Genomic DNA, 20,505 nt, shown 5'->3' on the forward strand with positions numbered 1-20,505 from the left:
AAAGGTCAGCTTTTATTTTTGTGCTTTTAAAGAGGAGAGCTCTGACACGGTTAGAATTGAGTGCTTAAAACTCGGGGAGAGAAATGATTATATTAAATGGCTAAATACAGTAATTCGTGGGATCATGTTATTATTTCACAGAAAATAGACTTTTATAGTGAGGAAGCCTTAGCCCAGTAACATGACACAGAGCTGTCAAGCCACAGGTATATTTAGAGTTTATTGGAAATAGGCAGGAAACCAAGAAAAAAAGTCTTAGATTGCTTTCTCTTGCTCCATTTCTATTTGATGGCAATTCTGGAGATGTATGAGGGGCTGGATGTGGGAGTCTGTAGTCCTGTGCATCCCTCCCACACTATATTTTTTGCCAGGTTCTTGTTAGGGAATGGAATGCATTTGGTCCATATAACTACTAGACTTTTTGACTATTTTAATTGTCTCCATCAATGCTTTCTATGAGCCAAGTTCAGTGCAAAAATATATTAATACATGTAAGCATATTTAAACCATAATTCATTTGTTTTATTCTTTATTTTAAATATGCCAATTTAAAGTTTATTATTCTTACCACTAGGATATGATGAGAGCAGAAATCCCACATTATATATATTTAGTACATTCTACATTCAGTATTCCTTAAAGAAAACTACCTATCATGGTTAAAACTGATTACTTGTGGCATCAAAAAGCATCTCTCCAAAAGCTGATATTTCAAAGATGATGCCCAGAAAAAGATGGTAAGTATTTTTCAAAACAGTTAGGTTATCAGTTTCTAAATCTTACTTTTAAAAGAGTCAGGCACAGTGACTCACACCTGTAATTCCAGCACTTAGGGAGGCAGAGGTGGAAGGATAGCATGAGTCCAAGGGTTCCAGACCTGTCTGAGCAACTTCGAGACTTGCCTGGAGAATGAAGGGCGAGACCCCATTCGCCACAAAAGGAAAAAAAAAAAAAGACCAAAAAAACCCACAAAAGGATCAGGAAGTATAATGGTTTCATGGACCAATTTATAATTATAAACCAAAACCTTTGTAGATGGTAAATCTCTATACAAATTATTTTTATTAGCATACTTGTGGAACAAGAGGCTACAATGACTACTTGAGTTTCCACTCTTGCAGCTGGATGATCCCAGATGCATTAGGGGTTCAATGGATGTCTTAAACTATGCTTGAAATGTTTTGGGTTCAAACAAAGAATGTTTGCCAAATCCTTCTTCCCCTTAATTTTTAAACATGTGTATTTCAAGGGAAATTTGATTCATATGTTTCTGATTCATTTACACTTAAATCATCAAAATGTTATTTTTGTAAAAGCTATTTGATGTCCAAGAAGCTTTCTGAACCTGTTTTATAAGTTTTCTTAAGTCCTTTTTCTTAAAACAGGAAGTTGCATTTTGCCAAGTACAAATAAACTCAAACACTAAAAAGGTTCAAGTTCAGTTTCCAACTCTGAACTCCAGGTTTAAATGCATTCTCAATTTAGCAAAATATATTTTCCCACCCCTACAAAAATATGGGTGGAAGGAAAGACAGTAGTGATAAAACTGAGTAAAGATGCTCATAAGCATTATTCTTCTCAGACCTATTTCTCTAGTTGTGAAACCATAAAACTTGTAACAGGTGTTCCTGAAGCCATTAGATACAGGTGACTTGCAAATAAGAACATCTGTCTGCATGTTGAGTCTCTAAGATGTGTCTAAATGTGTTTACTGTGTTTGTCACAGAAAACAGAACCTAAAGGTCTTAACATTTTAACTTCATTGGTTTACCTTTGACTGCCTTTAGGTCCTATTTTTCTTAGGAAAGGTGGAAAGAACCAACACAATTTATTGAACAGAGGGGAATCATAGGAGACTCTGTAGAGGTTTTATGTCTGTACTAAGATGATATTGCATTATCAATTTAAAAACATAATTGACACTTTTATCAGAATTGGAAACGTGCAGAAAATTTTCCCTGGTTCATATTAAGAGGTCTCTTAATTATATCTTCTGCTCATTAAGGCAGAGGCGATTCAGCCTGACCCTTCTAACTGTTTCACTTGTATAGAAAAAGGAGGCAAAGGAAATTTTAAGAGGAGTTTGGAACCATTTCAAACAATTTCCTCAATGTTCTGCTTTATTGTATTTCAGTATAATGAAGTACTGTACCCCCAGTACAATGTACTCTACTTCTTCTGTACTTGTACTGAGTAATCAAGTGACTCCTGGGATGATAGGTACTATCAAACGAAAATACTGTATTTAAACATTGCTAAACTGTCAGTTCAACTTTAGACGCTCCCATTCAATGACCAGGAACTTGTGGATCATATAAAGGTAGGTTTATTAAACATGCTAAGCAGGAGAGAGCAGCACCTTGACAGAGACTCTATCGTATCTCAAGTGGGGAAATTTAAGGAAGGCTACGTGTAGAGTTTGGGGGCAGTTGTTAGTTATAGAGTTGTTTTAGGGCAGAAGTTAGTAAGTGAGGCCTAGGCAGATATTGGTAGAATTTGTAAATTAGGCAAGTGGAAGTCTTATCTTTGGAATGTGAGTTCATTAAGACAATATTAAATCAGTTTCTCTGTGCTCTAGAACATATGGTCTGAAAGGAGCTTGTGTTAAACATTTAAAGTTGTTTGTGGCCAGTTGCGGTGGCTCATGCCTATAATCCCAGCACTTTGAGAGGCCAAGGCAGGTGGATCACCTGAGGTCAGGAGTTCGAGACCAGCCTGGCCAACATGGCAAAACCCTGTCTCTACTAAAAATATAAAAAAATGAGCTGGGTGTGGGGGCACATGCCTGTAATCCCAACTGCTCAGAAGGCTGAGGTAGGAGAACTGCTTGAACCCAGGAGGCGGAGGTTGCAGTGAGCCGAGATCACGCCACTACACTCCACCCGGGGAGACAGAGCGAGACTCCTTGTCAAAAAAAAAAAAAATAAAGTTAATTTGTATTGTATGTCATGATTTGACACAATTTACCTGTGTTGTAATTCATAATATAGTTTTGCTGGTTGTAGGTAGTTTTTGTTTTATTTTACAAAATAAACGTGTAAACAGCCTGTATAGCACACATATTTATTTATTTATGGATCTTAAAAAATTTAAACTGCATCCTATTATCTAAAAAATTAATAATTGGTAAATTTTATTCATACTCTTTTCAGACAATATTCAAAATGTTAAGCCTTGCTGGGTGCCTGTGTATCTGTACCTATGTTATATACATTATTCTTTTCCTCTGCTACTATGGTTTATTCACTCTGAGAACACATAATACTAACAGTAAAATGTCTTTGACATTTTATATTGTATTTTGAACAATTTCATGTTCATCCTAAATAAATATTTGTTTCTACCCCACATTGCCTAGAAAGAATTTGTGCTCCCTCAACTACCAGAGCGTTATATGCTCTTTAGTAGTATCACTAATGTTTTGGAAAAGAGTCAAAATTTTCAGTGCTGTTTTAGAATGCTTATTTAAAGGTAAAGAGATTTTTCAGAGAAAGAAACCTTATATAAGAGAACTCTCACAATGATAATGTAGTAACAGGGAACTGCTGAAGGCTACATGGAAATCCTTTATTTAAAACAAAAAATTAGAATAAAAGCCTTTCTACAGCTGGAGAGTCGACGACAGTCTTCCATGGTAAATTTTAATCTGAAGGCTTGTAGAATAAGATAAACCTATCAAAAAGCCCTTCCAAGGGATAGGCAATATTTGCCTTTTTAAAATTAAATCTTACCTGCTTTTACTGAGATTTATTATTCATTAGATAATGGCCATTGTTAGCCATAGTTTTACATTTTAAATTGCCCTTTATGAAACTTACATCAAAAAGATTCTTATTTTCCACTGATCTCTAACAATATAATTTACAATTCAAATTGAGAGAATCTCCTCATACTCCATCCCTTTGCCTTCTGTGGCCTCATTAAATAATCATAGTAATAGCTACCATCTACTCAGTATATTCCTTGTGCATATATTTGGCCAGCATGAGTTCGTGAACTTCTCACAACAACCTTGAGAGCTGTGCAGAGTTATTGCCTCTGTTCTAACACAAGACTAGGCTTCCCTGTGTTAGAATAGGGGCAATAACTCTGCACTGCATTGCAGCCACCCACCCATCTAAGGAGGAAGTCCATGCTCTTTCCATTCTGCCATGCTGCCTTAAGCCAAAGCAATTCATATATAAATGGTTTCATATTTTTTGTTCCCCATGTTTAATTCTAGATACTATGCAACCTAAGTCCTAGACAAAAAATTACAACTCCACAAAAACTTTTTGAATGAAATTTTTATAACTTTTTACTGCTAGTTATTCAAATAAACAATTGTCATAGCTCTCAATATCAGAACTGAAAGAGACAAATAATTTCAACTAATCCTCTGACTTTACTAGGTTCTACTTATGAGGAAGTCAAAATGATAGTACAGTGTGGAAGAATTCATGAACCAATAGACAACTTTCAAAAAATGTATGTCCCACCTAATCAGAATATCTATTTCAAGCCAATTATTTTTCCATTTAAACTCAATCAGAAAATGTATTTTGAGGTGATTGCTTTATCAGATTTCTACATTTTGCAAGCCAAATAATCATATAACCTCTAAGATGATATTATAAGTTCCATCTATCATGACCAGGACATTTGTTTTGCTTTCTAAGACCTAAGCAGACCATATAGCTGCTCTGGTTTCATGTTTGGGGGTATCCTCCTAACCTTTGTATGTCCTTTCTCTCTTTTTTCTCCAGGACTGCCCACCAGAAGCAGGTGATTTCCGAGCTCAGCAATGCTCAGCTCATAATGATGTCAAGCACCATGGCCAGTTTTATGAATGGCTTCCTGTGTCTAATGACCCTGACAACCCATGTTCACTCAAGTGCCAAGCCAAAGGAACAACCCTGGTTGTTGAACTAGCACCTAAGGTCTTAGATGGTACGCGTTGCTATACAGAATCTTTGGATATGTGCATCAGTGGTTTATGCCAAGTAAGTGCTGATTTGTTCTCATTCAACTTGTCCAGAGGGTTTCAATGTCTTTGTGTAAATGGTTTACATAGTCTCACTCTCTGAATCACTCATCTTTACACTTTTTAGAGTTTGTAAATGGTGAAAGATTTGAAAATTAAGGTATGATTTCAGTGAAAAGTACCAAGTGTTGTATTGTGCGAAGGAAAAGTAGACTAGAGTTATTTTTCTTTCCTTGAGTGTCACTTGAATATAAAAGAATAAAAATTTTTGAATAGTGTTTATCAATTATGTACTAGACTTTGAAATTATCCCCTGGATTGGCTATTCCTGAAGTGTGTGTTTGTGTTTGTGTGTGTGTGTGTGTGTGTGTATTTAGAGACTGGATTTTCATTGACTCAGTTTCAGAATAAATCAGGTAAGACCAATTCTAAAATCCCCAAGTAAACTGTAGGAAAACTTGCTACTTTACTATAATTTCCATTGTATTGAAAATTCAGACACACTGTAGAGAAAGTCATGGAAGAGCCAGCTAGGTTGGACTTAAGCCAGTTAAATCTTTAAAACAGGATTACAAAAAGGTTTGATTTCTGGTATCCATCCATTCATCAATGTCTACTCTAGGTAGGGAATTAGTAAGGTGAAAAAGGGTTTGTATGTTTGTCATGTCTTTGCCATCTTTATTTTCAGGTCCACTTTTTGGATTAGGATTACCAGTCTAGTTTTTGGAGCAAGCAGTTGCTATTGTTTTTCTGTGTGCTGTATTTGACTATATGCTTTTATATTTCATGAAGCAGACACAAAATTTTGAGAGTATTTGCCTTTTCCAACATGGTGTCAGCTGAAATTTTCTCTCTTCAGAATGTATAATATCACGGCTAGGAATGTAAGAGAAATATATGTTTTAGTAATTTGTTGTTTCAAATTTATTTTTTTAAAACTTACATCTATATTTGGATGTAAAGGCAAAAACTGTAGTGTAAATGACTATAAGAGATGTGAGATGTCAGGCAAGGTTTTATGCATGCAAGAGGGAAACAAACATAGTCAACCTTCCTAAAGTTTAAAATCATGAGGCAGAGAAACTGATGTCATATAGGAGTTTGTCACTGATGAAACATATCTTAAGGTTTCCTTATATACAAGAGATATATGAATTTCAGGTGTAAATTTGAATGTGGAATTTTACTATTTTAAAGCTAGAAAGGGCCTTAGAGTTATTCAATCAACATTCTAAAAAGCAATATATCTGAATAAATCATTTCTGATCTTTGCTATTTACTTCCTCCTCTAGGACTCTTAGTGGTAATGAAATGGAATTAGGGAATCTGAAAAATCTTTAGGAATAGTAGAGAATTGTAAAGCAAATAGATTTAGAAAGGGGACTGTGTTGTAGGGAATGGCAAACAAAAGAATAATAACTCCCTATGTATGTATACTGTTTGAGTAAAAGCAAGGAAGATTTCCATTTTAGAAGTGAAAAAACTGAGGACCAGAAAATATGCTTGATCTCCTGAAAGCTGTATGTTTGGTCATGCCAGAAATGGGACTAAATTCCACATCTCCTGAGATCCCATTCAATGTTATTGCTACTATATTACCCTGCTGAATGAACCAAAATAAACAAGACAGCTCAGCAAATTAGGTTTCATTTATTTCTTTTGCATGGGAGTTCAACGTGGCATATTTTTTCCTAAACTAATCCTGCCAGCAGGCCTCATGGTACCTTAGCAACTGAAAGAGAATCCTATCTCAGTTGCTAAGGAATAAATTTCATATATAATAAATATGGAGTGATAGTACTGGACTTTGGGTTACAAGTATAAACATGCTTTAACTTATATTCTTATGAGTATGACAGATTTGAGAGCAAATACGGTATAATTTGTAAATTATACCGTATTTGAAAAGCATTGTAACTTATACGTAGAAATAATGACTGGTTATTATTATTATTTTCTTCATTTATTTGTCTTGTTAGAGGCAATCATGTAGTAAAGGCGATGGAAAAACAAAGATTGCATTTAAGCACTAACAAGAAATTTAGTTTGGCTGGAGAGCCAGATAAGACCTAGCTATGCAGTAAGAATAGGGAGGTAGTTTGGGAGAGAAACATGGAGGCTTGAACGGCAGACAGGACTGTGGTAAACCATGGATGACCATAGTCTCACCTTGATAGAAAATGACAGCATAGCTATAGAAATTTGTCATTCATATGCACTAATTTATTTCAAGTATACCTGTTTAATACTCTTCAAAGAGCCACATTCTCAAGACTGGTTCTTTAACTCTTAAATAGAATCACAGAGTCCTGGACTTTTTAGAGCCAGAAGATAGCTTAGCAACTCACAGTTATTGCCGTTTCATAGAAGAGGAAACTGAGACCTGGAGACTGTCCTGAGATCACGAATAATTTGGGTGGCATGTGTTTGTTGTAAATTTCTTCAGGAAAGTTCTAGAATCATTGCTATTTATAATATATACCTAATTCTTACTCAGTAGTAATAGAGCATCATACGAGGTAGTAGTAGTAATGATAATAGCTTCCATTTTTGAGTGACTACCGTATCTAGGTACTTTATTTTTTTTTCAAATATTTACAGTTCTGCATGTTAGACATCATTATCCTTATTTCACAGATGAGGAAACTGGAGGCTCAGGTCGATTTTATATCTTGCCCAGAGACTCCCAGCTCTGTCTGAGTTCAAAACTCCTATTCTTTCCAGCGAGGCCAGGTATACAGAGGCGCAGACCATTTGGTAATGGTCCCCAGATTTGGCTGCCTATCAGAATCACCTGGAGAGCTCTTAAAAGACACAACTCTTAAGACCTGTCTTCCAGAAATTCAGATTTATTAATTCTATGTATTGAAAACACTTTTCTTATGATTCTATCATGGCCAGATTCACTTACAGATTGGAAAGCAGACAGAATTTAAAGTCAAAAGACATGAGTTGGGGCCAGGCACGGTGTCTCATGCCTGTAATCTGGGCATTTTGGTAGGCTGAGGAGGGCGGATCACTCGAGGTCCGGAGTTTGAGACCTGCCTGGCCAACACGGCGAAACCCTGTCTGTACTAAAAATACAAAAATTAGCCAGGCGTGATGGCAGGTGCTCGTATTCGCAGCTATTTGGGAGGCTGAGGCAGGACAATGGCTTAAACCTGGGAGGCAGAGGTTGCAGTGAGCCGAGATTGCACCACTGTACTCCAGCCTGGGTGACAGAGCAAGACTCCATCTCTAAATAAATAAATACAACATGAGTTTGAATCTAGCTCCTCTTTAACGAGCTGTGTAATCTTGGTCAAGATACGCAACGTCCCTAAGCTCCATTTTTCAATCTGTGGAAAATGAATTGTCTCCTAGACCATAGTGTACCAAAGTGAGAAAATATATGTGAAAATGTTTAATAAACTGTAAAGTGCTGTAGAAATGTAGAAGACTCTGAAAATTTTAAGTTGAAAAATATATTAAACTAGTGGTTCCCTGTATAAGATTTTATAACTGTAACGTTTCAAAAAACTTCCCAGGATGTGACAAGTAACAAACTTCTTAATTGGTTAGGTAATGACTTTAAAAAAAACAAAAAGAGACCTTCTACCATGTACTATCCCCATCATCATTTCACAATTGAAACGTTCATCACAAGGAAGTAGTAAGAACCCAGTTTCAGAATAAAGGACAATTCTTTGAACTGGAGATAGTTTGTCTTATGAGAAAGTTACTGCCCTTTACTTTTCTCTTTTTTTTTTTTTTTTCCAGAGCACAGAAATTGTCACTAATAGCACTTCACAGCCCAGCGTTTGAAAGCAGGGCCTTTGAGATGATCTAGTCCAGCCCCAGCAAATCATTGTATGATTTTCCCAGGATCCTATGGCTAGTTAATGACAGACTAGAAGGCAGAGAGTGCTGGTGTTTATCAACATTTTCTAATTATGCTCCTTACATTATTTCTTCAGTTTATCCCATGAGCTGAGATTTTGTCTAGCTGTAATTCTGTCATTAATATTATGAAAACAATAGGTTTAATGAATATACCTTTTCAAACCACATTCTCCCCCTTTCTCTCCCTCTCTCCCTCCTAGATTCTGACAATCATCCCCAGTGGGTGATTGTGTTATCCCTCTTCACCCTGCATCTCAGACTGAGAAACACTGGGATTCTTATTTGCTCACTATCATTCTAGACTAGATGAAGTTAGAGAGAAGGCTGAGCTAGGGAGGCAATTTGTCATTGTATGAATAGTTAAAGACAAGAGGCTCTGGAATCATACCATCTAGGTTGGAATCTAAGCTCCACCACTCATTGGCATGTGCCTTTGAGCAAGTTCCTAAGCCTCAGTTTTGTCATCTGCAAAATGAGGATAATAATTGTAAAAATAGGATTAGAAGGAAGATTAAGTAATCAAGTGCATTTAAAGTGCTTACTATGCCGCAATAAACATACGTGTGCATGTGTCTTTATAGCAGCATGATTTATAGTCATTTGGGTATATACCCAGTAATGGGATGGCTGGGTCAAATGGTATTTCTAGTTCTAGATCCCTGAGGAATCGCCACACTGACTTCCACAATGGTTGAACTAGTTTACAGTCCCACCAACAGTGTAAAAGTGTTCCTATTTCTCCACATCCTCTCCAGCACCTGTTGTTTCCTGACTTTTTAATGATTGCCATTCTAACTGGTGTGAGATGATATCTCATAGTGGTTTTGATTTGCATTTCTCTGATGGCCAGTGATGATGAGCATTTTTTCATGTGTTTTTTGGCTGCATAAATGTCTTCTTTTGAGAAGTGTCTGTTCATGTCATGTTGCGGCATTATTCACAATAGCAAAGACTTGGAACCAACCCAAATGTCCAACAATGATAGACTGGATTAAGAAAATGTGGCACATATACACCATGGAATACTATGCAGCCGTAAAAAATGATGAGTTCATGTCCTTTGTAGGGACATGGATGAAATTGGAAACCATCATTCTCAGTAAACTATCGCAAGAACAAAAAACCAAACGCCGCATATTCTCACTCATAGGTGGGAATTGAACAATGAGATCACATGGACACAGGAAGGGGAATATCACACGCTGGGGACTGTGGTGGGGAGGGGGGAGGGGGGAGGGATAGCATTGGGAGATATACCTAATGCTAGATGACGAGTTAGTGGGTGCAGCACACCAGCATGGCACATGTATACATATGTAACTAACCTGCACAATGTGCACATGTACCCTAAAACTTAAAGTATAATTAAAAAATAAATAAATAAAAAAAATAAAGTGCTTACTATGAGCTTGATAAATACTACTTGTATTAATTGTACCCAAGTTATGTCTTATCTTTTTCTTTTTCTTCCTTAGAGCCTTTCTGAGTACATGATTTAATATGGGTACACATACGAAAGGGGCACTGACTTCCCAATGAATGAGCAGACCTTCTGTTAATTTCCTATTGCAGTCATCTTTTGCAGATAGCTCCACATTGTACAATTATCAACTCCTGATCCAGGGCAGTGAATTGCATCCTGTACAGAGTTAATGAGCCATCACAAATAGGATCAGTTCTATTAGTACTGCTGTTATTCATTTATTTTCATTATCCAAATTACCCCTATTTATATTTGTTGTAAAGCACAAAGCCGGTTTCTGTTTTAAATATATTTTTTAAAAGAGTAGCATAAATGTATGGACAGAACATGTGCTGCTGTTAAAAATAATTTTGAGGTTATTTTGAAAGCAAATAGAGAAAAGTATGTTTTATTTTTGTAATTAATAGAATTCATCAGATGATACCTGATATATGTCAAAAGAAAAAGTATGATTATAAACAAGCCTTTTATCATGAATCTGCATATTTATAATATTGCTTATTGCTATTTCAAAAAATTAAGCATTTCAAAAAGGGAAAGAAGAATTCCTTTCAAGTAATGCCTTATATAATATTGTTTTAAAATGAATAATACAGTACAGAAATAAGCAATAAAATGAATCACAGAGTTTTGATGTCTTTATTCTGGCAACATCAAAATGAACCATATTTCTAACAAAGAAATTCTTTTCATTTTTAATAATTCCTGTGGTGAGTAGTTTGAAATGAATTGAATAGAATGATTATTTCTCCATCTCTGTCTGTGACCTAAGTCACTAGTATCAAATGTCCACCAGTTATTCCAAAGGTGATGATGTCAGAAATAAGGCGTTGGACATTTTTTCTTCTGTACTTTATAATCTAATTCCACATGGAAGCATGGTTTTTCTTAAAATATTTAATGCATAGTCTTTCTTATTCTGCTCTTTTCATAGCATAGTAAAGATAAAACTAACTACTACTTACTAGTTGAATTTCCTTAGTTTCTGAATCTTGTTTATGCATTCTTCCAACAATCTGCTGTATGTTGATTATTGAGGATATAAAATTGATTAAGATCTCTTTCCATAGGAGTGATACATTTTTAGAGTTATTGTGAAAAACTTTTAAAAATATATTTGTCTAACAAATTTTACTTAGGAATTAACAGTATGCTAAATACTGAAAATACATTAATGGACAAGAAGGATAGTCCCTGCCCTTCCAGAATTTTCACTGTGAGAGGAGATAAGTAAATATGAAAGTGTACTATAGTCACTATACTATACTGCCCTCACTGTAAATGGGGACCTCTTGCTAAAATACAGATTTGGTTTCATTTATCATCTGCTTGAATCATTTCAATTGCATTTTTTTTTTGCCTTCAGGTTAAAAAAATCCCAAATTCCTTTACATGGTGGCTTAAAACAACAGAAATTTATTCTCCCACAGTTCATGAGGCCAGAATTCAAAAATCAAAGTGTCATCAGAACCATGCTTTCTCTGAGGCTCTGGGTGGAATCCTTTGCCTCTTTTGCCTCTTCCTAACTTCTAATAGTAGCCATCAATCTTTACTATTTCTTAACTTGCAGCTGCATCACTCTAATCTCTGCCTCTGTTATCAAATGGCATTCTACCCTCTGTGTCTGTGTCTTCACCTCTTCTTATAAGGACAGCAATCATATTAAATTGAGCCCACCCTAACGGATTATGAATTCATCTCAATTTGGTTACATCTGCAAAGATTCTATTTCCTAAAAAGGTCACATTTATAGGCATCAGAGGTTTTGACTTTAGCTTATCTTTTGGGGGAGACACAATTCAACCCATGACAGCCAGCTGTCTGGCTCCCAAATTTACATCCTTCACATGTGACAAATATTCACCTGATCCCAATATCCCAAAAGTTTTAACCCATTTCAGAGTCAACTGTAACTCTAAAATATTATCAACTCAGAAAGTTCCAAATTCTATCAGCTGAATCAGCTATGGGTGAGACTTGGATATAGTGCATCCTGGGACATCATTTGTCTCCATCTGTGCACATTTGAAACCAAAAATAAGTTATCTGCTTCCAAAATACAATGGTGGGACAAGCAGAAGCAGATTCCCATTCCCACTCAAAAAGGGAAAAACACCAAAGAAAAAGGGATCATAGGTCCTAAGCATGTCTGATACCGAGCAGGAAAAAAATCCACTAGATTTCAAGGCCTGAGAATAATCCTTGTGGCTCAGTGCTTCAATCTATGTGCCTGCCAAGGAGGCAGCCCTTCCCTCTCAGCTCAAGGAGGTAGAGTCAGCCCAGGCTTCTGCATCTGTGCCTCAGACCTAAGAGTCATTCTTCTTTCACTTTGTCCCATCTCTGAGACATTTATTCTAGGCTGTCAGTATTTCTGCTGGTATGAAATTCTCAGAAATCACGTCAGTCTTTCTTGCAATTAACAGGTATCCAAGCCATCAAACAAGGGGGTCCTCTACAGTTCTTTTCTGAATAACTGCATCTCTATTCCTGGCTTCTGCTAAGATGTTTGAGGGATTCATGGGTCACATGCCTAATTTCTTTAGCAAATGGTTATCTAGCCATAACCTTGGCCCTGTTACCAGAGCACACTACCTAAATAAGCTGAAAATGTTTCAAATAATCAAATGCTAGTACCTTTTTGTTTAACAGTTCATCTCTCAGTTTATCTCTTGGCTCTCACATTTTACTATAAGTACCAAGGAGAAACCAGGCTGTAGTCATCCATACTGTGTTTGGAAGTCTACTCAGCTAAGTACGTAAGTTTATTGTTTGATATGGTTTGGCTGTGTTCTGACCCAAATCTCACCTTGAACTGGAACTCCTGCAATTCCCACATGTTGTGGGAGGAACCCGGTGGGAGGCGATTGAATTATGAGAGCAGATCTTTCCTGGTCTCTTCTCATGATAGTGAATGAGTCTCATGAGATCTGATGGTTTTGAAAAGGGAAGTTTCAGGCTGGGTGCAGTGGCTCACACCTGTAATCCCAGCACTTTGGGAGGCTGAGGTGGGTGGATCATGAGGTCAGGAGATTGAGACCATCCTGGCTAACATGGTGAAACCCCATCTCTACTTAAAAATACAAAATATTAGCCAGGTGTGGTAGAGGGCACCTGTAGTCCCAGCTTCTCTGGAGGCTGAAGCAGGAGAATTGCTTGAACCAGGGAGGCGGAGGTTGCAGTGAGCCAAGATTGCACCACTGCACTCCAGCCTGGGCGACACAACGAGACTCCATCTCAAAATAAAATAAAATAAATAAAATAAAATAAAATAAAATAAAAATAAAATAAAATAAAATAAAAAGGGGAGTTTCCCTGCACAAGCTCTCTTCTGTTGTCTGCTGCCATGTGAGACATGGCTATCACCTTCTGCAATGATTGTGAGGCTGCCCCAGCCACATGAAACTGTAAGTCTAATAAACCTCTTTCTTTTGTAAATTGCTCGGTCTTGGGTATGTTTATAAGCAGCGTGAAAATGGGCTAATACAGTAAATTGGTACCAGTAGAGGAGGGTGCTGCTGAAAAGATACCTGAAAATATGGAAGCAACTTTGGAACTGGGTAACAGGCAGGAGGAAAAAGTGGTTTCGTGGGCCGGGCCCAGGATCCCCATGCTGTGTGCACCCTAGGGACTTGGTGCCCTGCATCCCAGCTGCTCCAGCCATGGCTGAAAGGGGTCAAGGTAGGGCTCGGGCCGTAGCTTCAGAGGGTGCAAGCCCCATACCTTAGCAGCTTCCATGTGGTGTTGAGCCTGTGAGTGCACAGAAGTCAAGAATTAAGGTTTGGGAACCTCCACCTAGATTTCAGAAGATGTATGGAAATACCTGAATGCCCAGTCAGAAGTTTGCCACAGGGGTGGGGCTGTCATGGAGAACCTCTGCTAGGGCAGTGCAGAAGGGAAATGTGAGGTCGGAGCCTCCACACAGAGTGCCTACTGGAACACCACCTAGGAAAGCTGTGAGACAAGGGCCACCATCCTCCAGACGCAGAATGGTAGATCCACTGACAGCTTGCACTGTGTGCCTGGATAAGCTGCAGTCACTCAACACCAGCCAGTAAAAGCAGCCGGGAAGGAGGCTGTGCCCTGCAGAGCCACCAGGACGGAGCTACCCAAGACCGTGGGGACCCACCTCTTGCATCAGAGTGATCCAGATATGAGACAGGAGTCAAAGGAAATCACTTTGGGGCTTTAAGATTTGACTCCCCTGGTGGATTTTGGACTTGAGTAGGGCCTGTAGTCCCTTTGTTTTGGCCAATTTCTCCCATTTGGAATGGCTGTATTTACCAAATGCCTGTATCCCCATTGTGTCCGGAAATAACTAACGTGCTTTTGATTTTACAGGCTCATAGGCGGAAGGGACTTGCTTTGTCTCAGATGAGACGATGGACTGTGGGCTTTTGAGTTAATGCTGAAATGAGTTAAGACTTTGGGGGACTGTTGAGAAGGATGATTGTAATTTGCAATATGAGAAGGGGATGAGGTTTGGGAGGGGCTAGAGTGGAATGATGTGTTTTGGCTGTGTCCCCACCCTAATCTTACCTTGAATTGTAACTCCCACAATTCCCACGTGTTGTGGGAGGATCCCATTGGGAGGTGATTGAATTATGGGTGCAGGTCTTTCCTGCGCTGTTCTCGTGGTAGTGAATGAGTCTCACGATATCTGATGGTTTTAAAAAGAGGAGTTTCTCTGCACAAGCTCTCTTCTTTTGTCTGCCACCATGTGAGATGTCCCTGTCACCTTCTGCCATGATTGTGAGGCCCCCCCCAGCCACATGGAACTGTAAGTCCAATAAACCTCTTTCTTTTGTAAATTGCTCAGTCTCAGGTATGTCTTTATCAGCAGCATGGAAACAGACTAATACATCGCTGAAAGTTCTACTTTCCACTCAATGGCAGAAAATGACACAGCCAAGTTCTCTGCCACTGTATAACAGGACTCATCTTTCTTCCAGTATCCAATTAAATGTTCATCATCTCTTTCTAAGGCCTCACCAGAGTTACCTTTAACATCTATGATAATTAATTTTAGGTGTCAACTTGACCAGATTTAGGGATGCCTAGATAGCTGCTGAAGCATTGTTACCAGGTGTGTCTGTGAGGGTATTTTTGGAGGAGATTGCCTTGTGAATCAGTGGACTGAGTTGGGAAAATTTACTCAGTATTGGTGGGCACCATCCAATTGACTAGGGGCCTGAAAGAAAAAAAAGATGGATCCATGGATGATGTAGCAAGAAGGTCCTCACCAAATGCCGGCACCTGGATCATGAATTTCCCAGTCTCCAGAATTGTGAGGAAATAAATTTCCATTTATTATAACTTACTCAGTCTCAGGTATTTTGTTATAACAGCACAAATATACTTTGGTAACATCTATATTTCTATCAACTGTCTCTTCGATCTAGGTTTTTTTCTATGAAGCACCTCAAAATTCATCCAAGCTCTACCCATTATCCAATTCCAAAGCCGGAAAGTGACACTTCATAGAAATTCATTTATTTCGTAATATTTTATTTTTGTCACCGTAGCTGGGTCTTTTGTGTATTCAAGTATTATTTTTATTCATGGAAGGGATTCTTCTGATATATTAACATTGTTTTCCATCTTGCTATTCCATTTATGAAGTGAAAGAGTTTCTATGGCTTAATAAAAAAACTTTTTGGAAAGTTCTATCTGTTTAATTTTTCCTTTGAAATTAAGTGTAAGCTTCACAAAAATTGATGAGTTTGTTTTCCCAAAGAGATTCAGTGAAGTAAACAAGGCAGAGCAAATCTAAAATAGAAAACATTTTCAAATTTTATTATTTTTAGTGATGTATAGTTTTTTTAATATACTCATGCCCATCATTATGTGCTTCTTCTGCCAATTCTGTGGGATAACTTTATTTCCATTTTATAAATGAGGAAATTGAGGCTCATAGAAAGTCATACAACTGGAAAAAGGCAAAGTACACTTCAAATTATATTATTTCTATTATATGACACCCTTTTCTGTGAGACCAGCACCATCCTGATACCAAAACCTGGCAGAGAGAGACACAACAAAAAAAGAAAACTTCAGATCAATATCCTTGATGAATATTGATGCAAAGATCCTCAACAAAATACTGGCAAACCCAATTTAGCATCACTTCAAAAAGCTAATTTAGCATGAGCAACTAGGCTTTATCCCAGAGATGCAAGGTTGATTCAATGTATGCAAGTCAATAAATGTTATTCATCACATAAATAGAACTAAAGACAATAGTCCCAGATGCAGGAAAATACTTTTTATAAAATTCAACATCTCTTCTTGTTAAAAATTTAATAAACTAGATATTGAAGGAAAATACCCTAAAACAATAAGAGTCATCTATGACAAGCCCACAGCCAACATTATACTGAATGAGCAAAAGCCAGAAAATTCCCTTTTAAAACCAACACAAGACAAAGATGCCTTCTCTCACCACTCCTATTCAACATCATATTGGAAGTGCTGGCCAGAGCAATCAGGCAAGAGAAAAAGATAAAAAGCATCCAAATAGGAAGAAAGGAAGTCACACTATCTCTGTTTGCAGACAACATGATTCTCTGTCTAGAAAACCACATGGGCTCAACCCAAAAGCTCCTTAAACCAATAAACAACTTCAGCAAAGTCTCAGGATATAAAATCATTGTACAAAAATCATTAGCATTCCTGTACACCAACAACAGCCAAGCTGAAAGCCAAATCAGGAATGCAATTCCATTTATAATTCCCACAAAAAGAATAAAATATCTAAGAATACAGCTAATCAATTAGAGAGGTGAGAACTTTCTACAATAATAATTACAAACCATTGCTCAAAAAAATCAGAGATAACACAAACAAATGAAAAAACATTCCATGCTCATGGATAGGAAGAATCAGTATCATTGAAATAGCCATACTGCCTAAAGCAATTTACAGATTCAATGTTATTCCTATCAAACTACCAATGACATTCTTCACAGAACTAGAAAAAAAACTATTTTAAAATTCATATGGAATTTTAAAAAGAGCCCCATAGTCAAGGCAATCCTAGACAAAAAGAACAAAACTGAATGCATCACATTACCTGACTTCAAACTATAGTACAGGACTACAGTGACCAAAACAGCATGGTACTGGTTCAAGAACAGACACATAGACCAATGGAACAGAATAGAGAGCCCAGAAATAAGGCCACACACCTATGACCGTCTGATCTTTGACAAAGATGACAAACACAACCAATGAGGAAAGGACTCCCTATTCAATAAATGGTGCTGGGATAACTGGCTAGCCATATGCAGAAGACTGGAACTGGACCCCTTCCTTATATCATAGACAAAAATTAACTCAAGTAGATTAAAGACTTAAATGTAAAACTAAATACTATTAAAAAAAAACTGTGGAAGACAACGTAGGCAATACCATTCTGGACATAGGAACTGGCAAATATTTCGTGGCAAAGATGCCGAAAGCAATTCAACAAAAGCAAACATTGACAAATGAAATCTAATTAAACTAAAGAGCTTCTGCACAGCAAAAGAAACTATCAACAGAGTAAACAGATAACCCTACAGAATGGGTGAAAATATTTGCAAACTATGCAACTGACAAACGTCTATTATCCAGCATGTATAAGGAACTTAAACAAGTTTATAAAACAAACCACCCCAAGAAACCCCATTAAAAAGTGAGTAAAGGGCATGAACAGGCACATTTCAAAAGATGACATACATGCAGCCAACAAGCATATAAAAAAAGCTCAATATCATTGATCATTAGAGAAATACAAATCAAAACCACAGTGAGATACATGGTATACAAGGTGTGAAGACCAAATCAGAGTTACTGGGGTATCTATCACCTCAAACATTTACCTTTTCTTTGTATGGGGAGCATTACAATTCTTCTTTTCTAGCTATTTGGAAATATACAATAACTTATTGTCACTATAATTTTCCCCACTGTACTGTCAAATACCAGAACTTATTCCTTCTATCTGTGTTTGTATACTCAGTAACCAACTTCTCTTTATTGTTCCCCTCCTGCTTCCCTTACCAGCCTCTGGTAAATACCATACTGCTTTCTATCTCAAACAGATCCACTTTTTAGCTCCCACATATGAGTGAGAACATGCAATATTTGTCTTTCTGTGCCTGGTTTATTTCACTTAATGACCTCCAGTTCCATCCATATTGCTGCAAATGACAGGATTTCATTTTTTATGACTGAATAATATTCCATTGTGTATATATACCATGTGTCATAACCATTTATTAATTGATGAACACTTAGGTTGATTATATATCTTGACTTGTGAATAGTGCTGGAATAAACATGGGAATGCAGGTATCTCTTTGATGTAGTGATTTCCTTTCATTTGGATATATAACCAGTAGTGAGGTTGCTGGATCATATAGTAGTTCTAGTTTTAGTTTTTTGAGGATCCTCCATACTGTTTTCTATAATGAGTGTACTACTTCACATTCCCACCAACAGTGTGCAAGTGTTTCTCTTACTTTGCATCCTCACCAGCATTTGCTATTTTTGTCCTTTTAATAATAGCCACTCTGAGGCGAAATGATACATTATTGTGGTTTTGATTCGCATTTCCCTGATGATTTGTAATGTTGAGCATTTTTTTACATGCCTGTCAGCTCTTTGTGTGTCTTCCTTCAACAAATATCTATTCAGGTCTTTTGTCCATTTTTTATCAGAAATTTTTTTTCTTTGCTCTTGAGTTGAGCTCCTTATATACTCTGGTTATTAACTCCTTGCCAGATGGATAGTTTGCAAATCTTTTCTCCCGTTCTGTAAGTTGGCTTTTCCCTTTTTGTTTTCTTTGCTGTGCAGAAGTTTTTAGCTTAATGTAATCTATGTGTCTGTTTTTGCTTTTGTTTTCTGTGCTTTTGAGATCTTATCCAAAAAATCTTTGCCCAGATCCTTGTTGTGGAGCATTTCCCTAATCTTTTCTTCTAGTAATTTTACAATTTCAAGTCTTACATTTAAGTCTTTAATCAATATTGGGTTAATTTTATATTTACTAAAAAATGGGGCTCTAATTTTATTCTTCTGCATATTGATATCCAGTTTTCCCAGAACCACTTATTGAAGAGACTATTCCTTCCCCAGTGCATATTCTTGGGATCTTTGTTGAAAATGGGTTGGCTGTTGGTGCATGGATTTATTTCTGGGTTCTCTATTCTGTTCCATTGGTGTATCTGTCTGTTTTTATGCCAGTACCATGCTGTTGGGGTTACTATAGCTTTGTGCCATATATATACATATACATATATATATATATATATACATATATATACACATTTTTTTTTTGAGACAGAGTCTCACTCTGTCACCCAGGCTGTAGTGTAGTGGTGCAATCTTGGATCACTGCAACCTCCACCCCTTAGTATCTGGGATTACAGGTGTCCACTACCATGACTGGCTAATTTTTGTATTTTTAGTAGAGATGGGGTTTTGCCATGTTGGCCAGGCTGGCCTCGAACTCCTGACCTCAGGTGATCTGCCCACCTTGGCCTCCCAAAGTGCTGGGATTACAGGCATGAGTTGCCACACCTGGTCTTGTTAACAATATTAATTCTTCTAATCCATCAACATGGAATAGCTTTCCATTTTTTTGGTGGCCTCTTCAATTTCTGTCATCAATGTTTTAGTTTTACTTATACAGATCTCTCACTTCTTTGGTTAAATTTATTCTAAGGTATTTTTTCTTTAGTAGCTATTTTAAATGGGATTGCTTTCTTGATTTATTTTTCAAATTGATCACTGTTAATATATAAAAACACTATGGATTTTTGTATGTTGATTTTGCATCCTGTGATTTTATTAAATTTGTTCACAAGTTATAAGAGTTTTGGGGGAAAATTCTGGGGTTTTTCTAACTATAAGATTATGTCATCTGCAAACAAGGATAATTTGACTTCTTCCTTTACAATTTAGATGCCCTTAATTTTTTTCTTTTGACTAATTGCTCTGGCTAAGATTTCCAGTACTGTTTAATAAAAGTGATGAAACTGAGCATCCTTGTCTCATTTCAGGTTTTAGTGGAAAGGCTTTCAGTTTTTTCTGTTCAGTATGTTAGCTGTGTGCTTGTCATTTATGACCTTTGTCATGTAGAGGTAATTTCCTTCTATACCCAATTTGTTGAGGGTTTTTGTCATCTACAGATGTTGAA

General features: G+C 37.0%; 1 protein-coding gene and 1 non-coding gene across 17 annotated transcripts in view; both read left to right on the forward strand.

Moving 5' to 3' along the window:
- The window catches only part of ADAMTSL1 (ADAMTS like 1), a 1,004,318-nt gene that overhangs the window by 662,652 nt on the left and 321,161 nt on the right, over window positions 1-20,505 (forward strand). For all 16 annotated transcript variants that reach the window (XM_011518064.4, XM_017015312.3, XM_011518063.3 and 13 more), the window contains one exon: window positions 4,746-4,982. In XM_011518064.4, the coding sequence (XP_011516366.1) occupies window positions 4,746-4,982 (237 nt within the window). The remainder of the gene's footprint in view (window positions 1-4,745; window positions 4,983-20,505) is intronic.
- On the forward strand, window positions 4,022-4,095 carry MIR3152 (microRNA 3152). The gene has a single exon (NR_036107.1). It is a non-coding gene; the product is annotated as a microRNA 3152 (primary transcript).

The sequence above is a fragment of the Homo sapiens genome, chromosome 9 (genome assembly GCF_000001405.40).
Source record: "Homo sapiens chromosome 9, GRCh38.p14 Primary Assembly".
Lineage (NCBI taxonomy): Eukaryota > Metazoa > Chordata > Mammalia > Primates > Hominidae > Homo > Homo sapiens.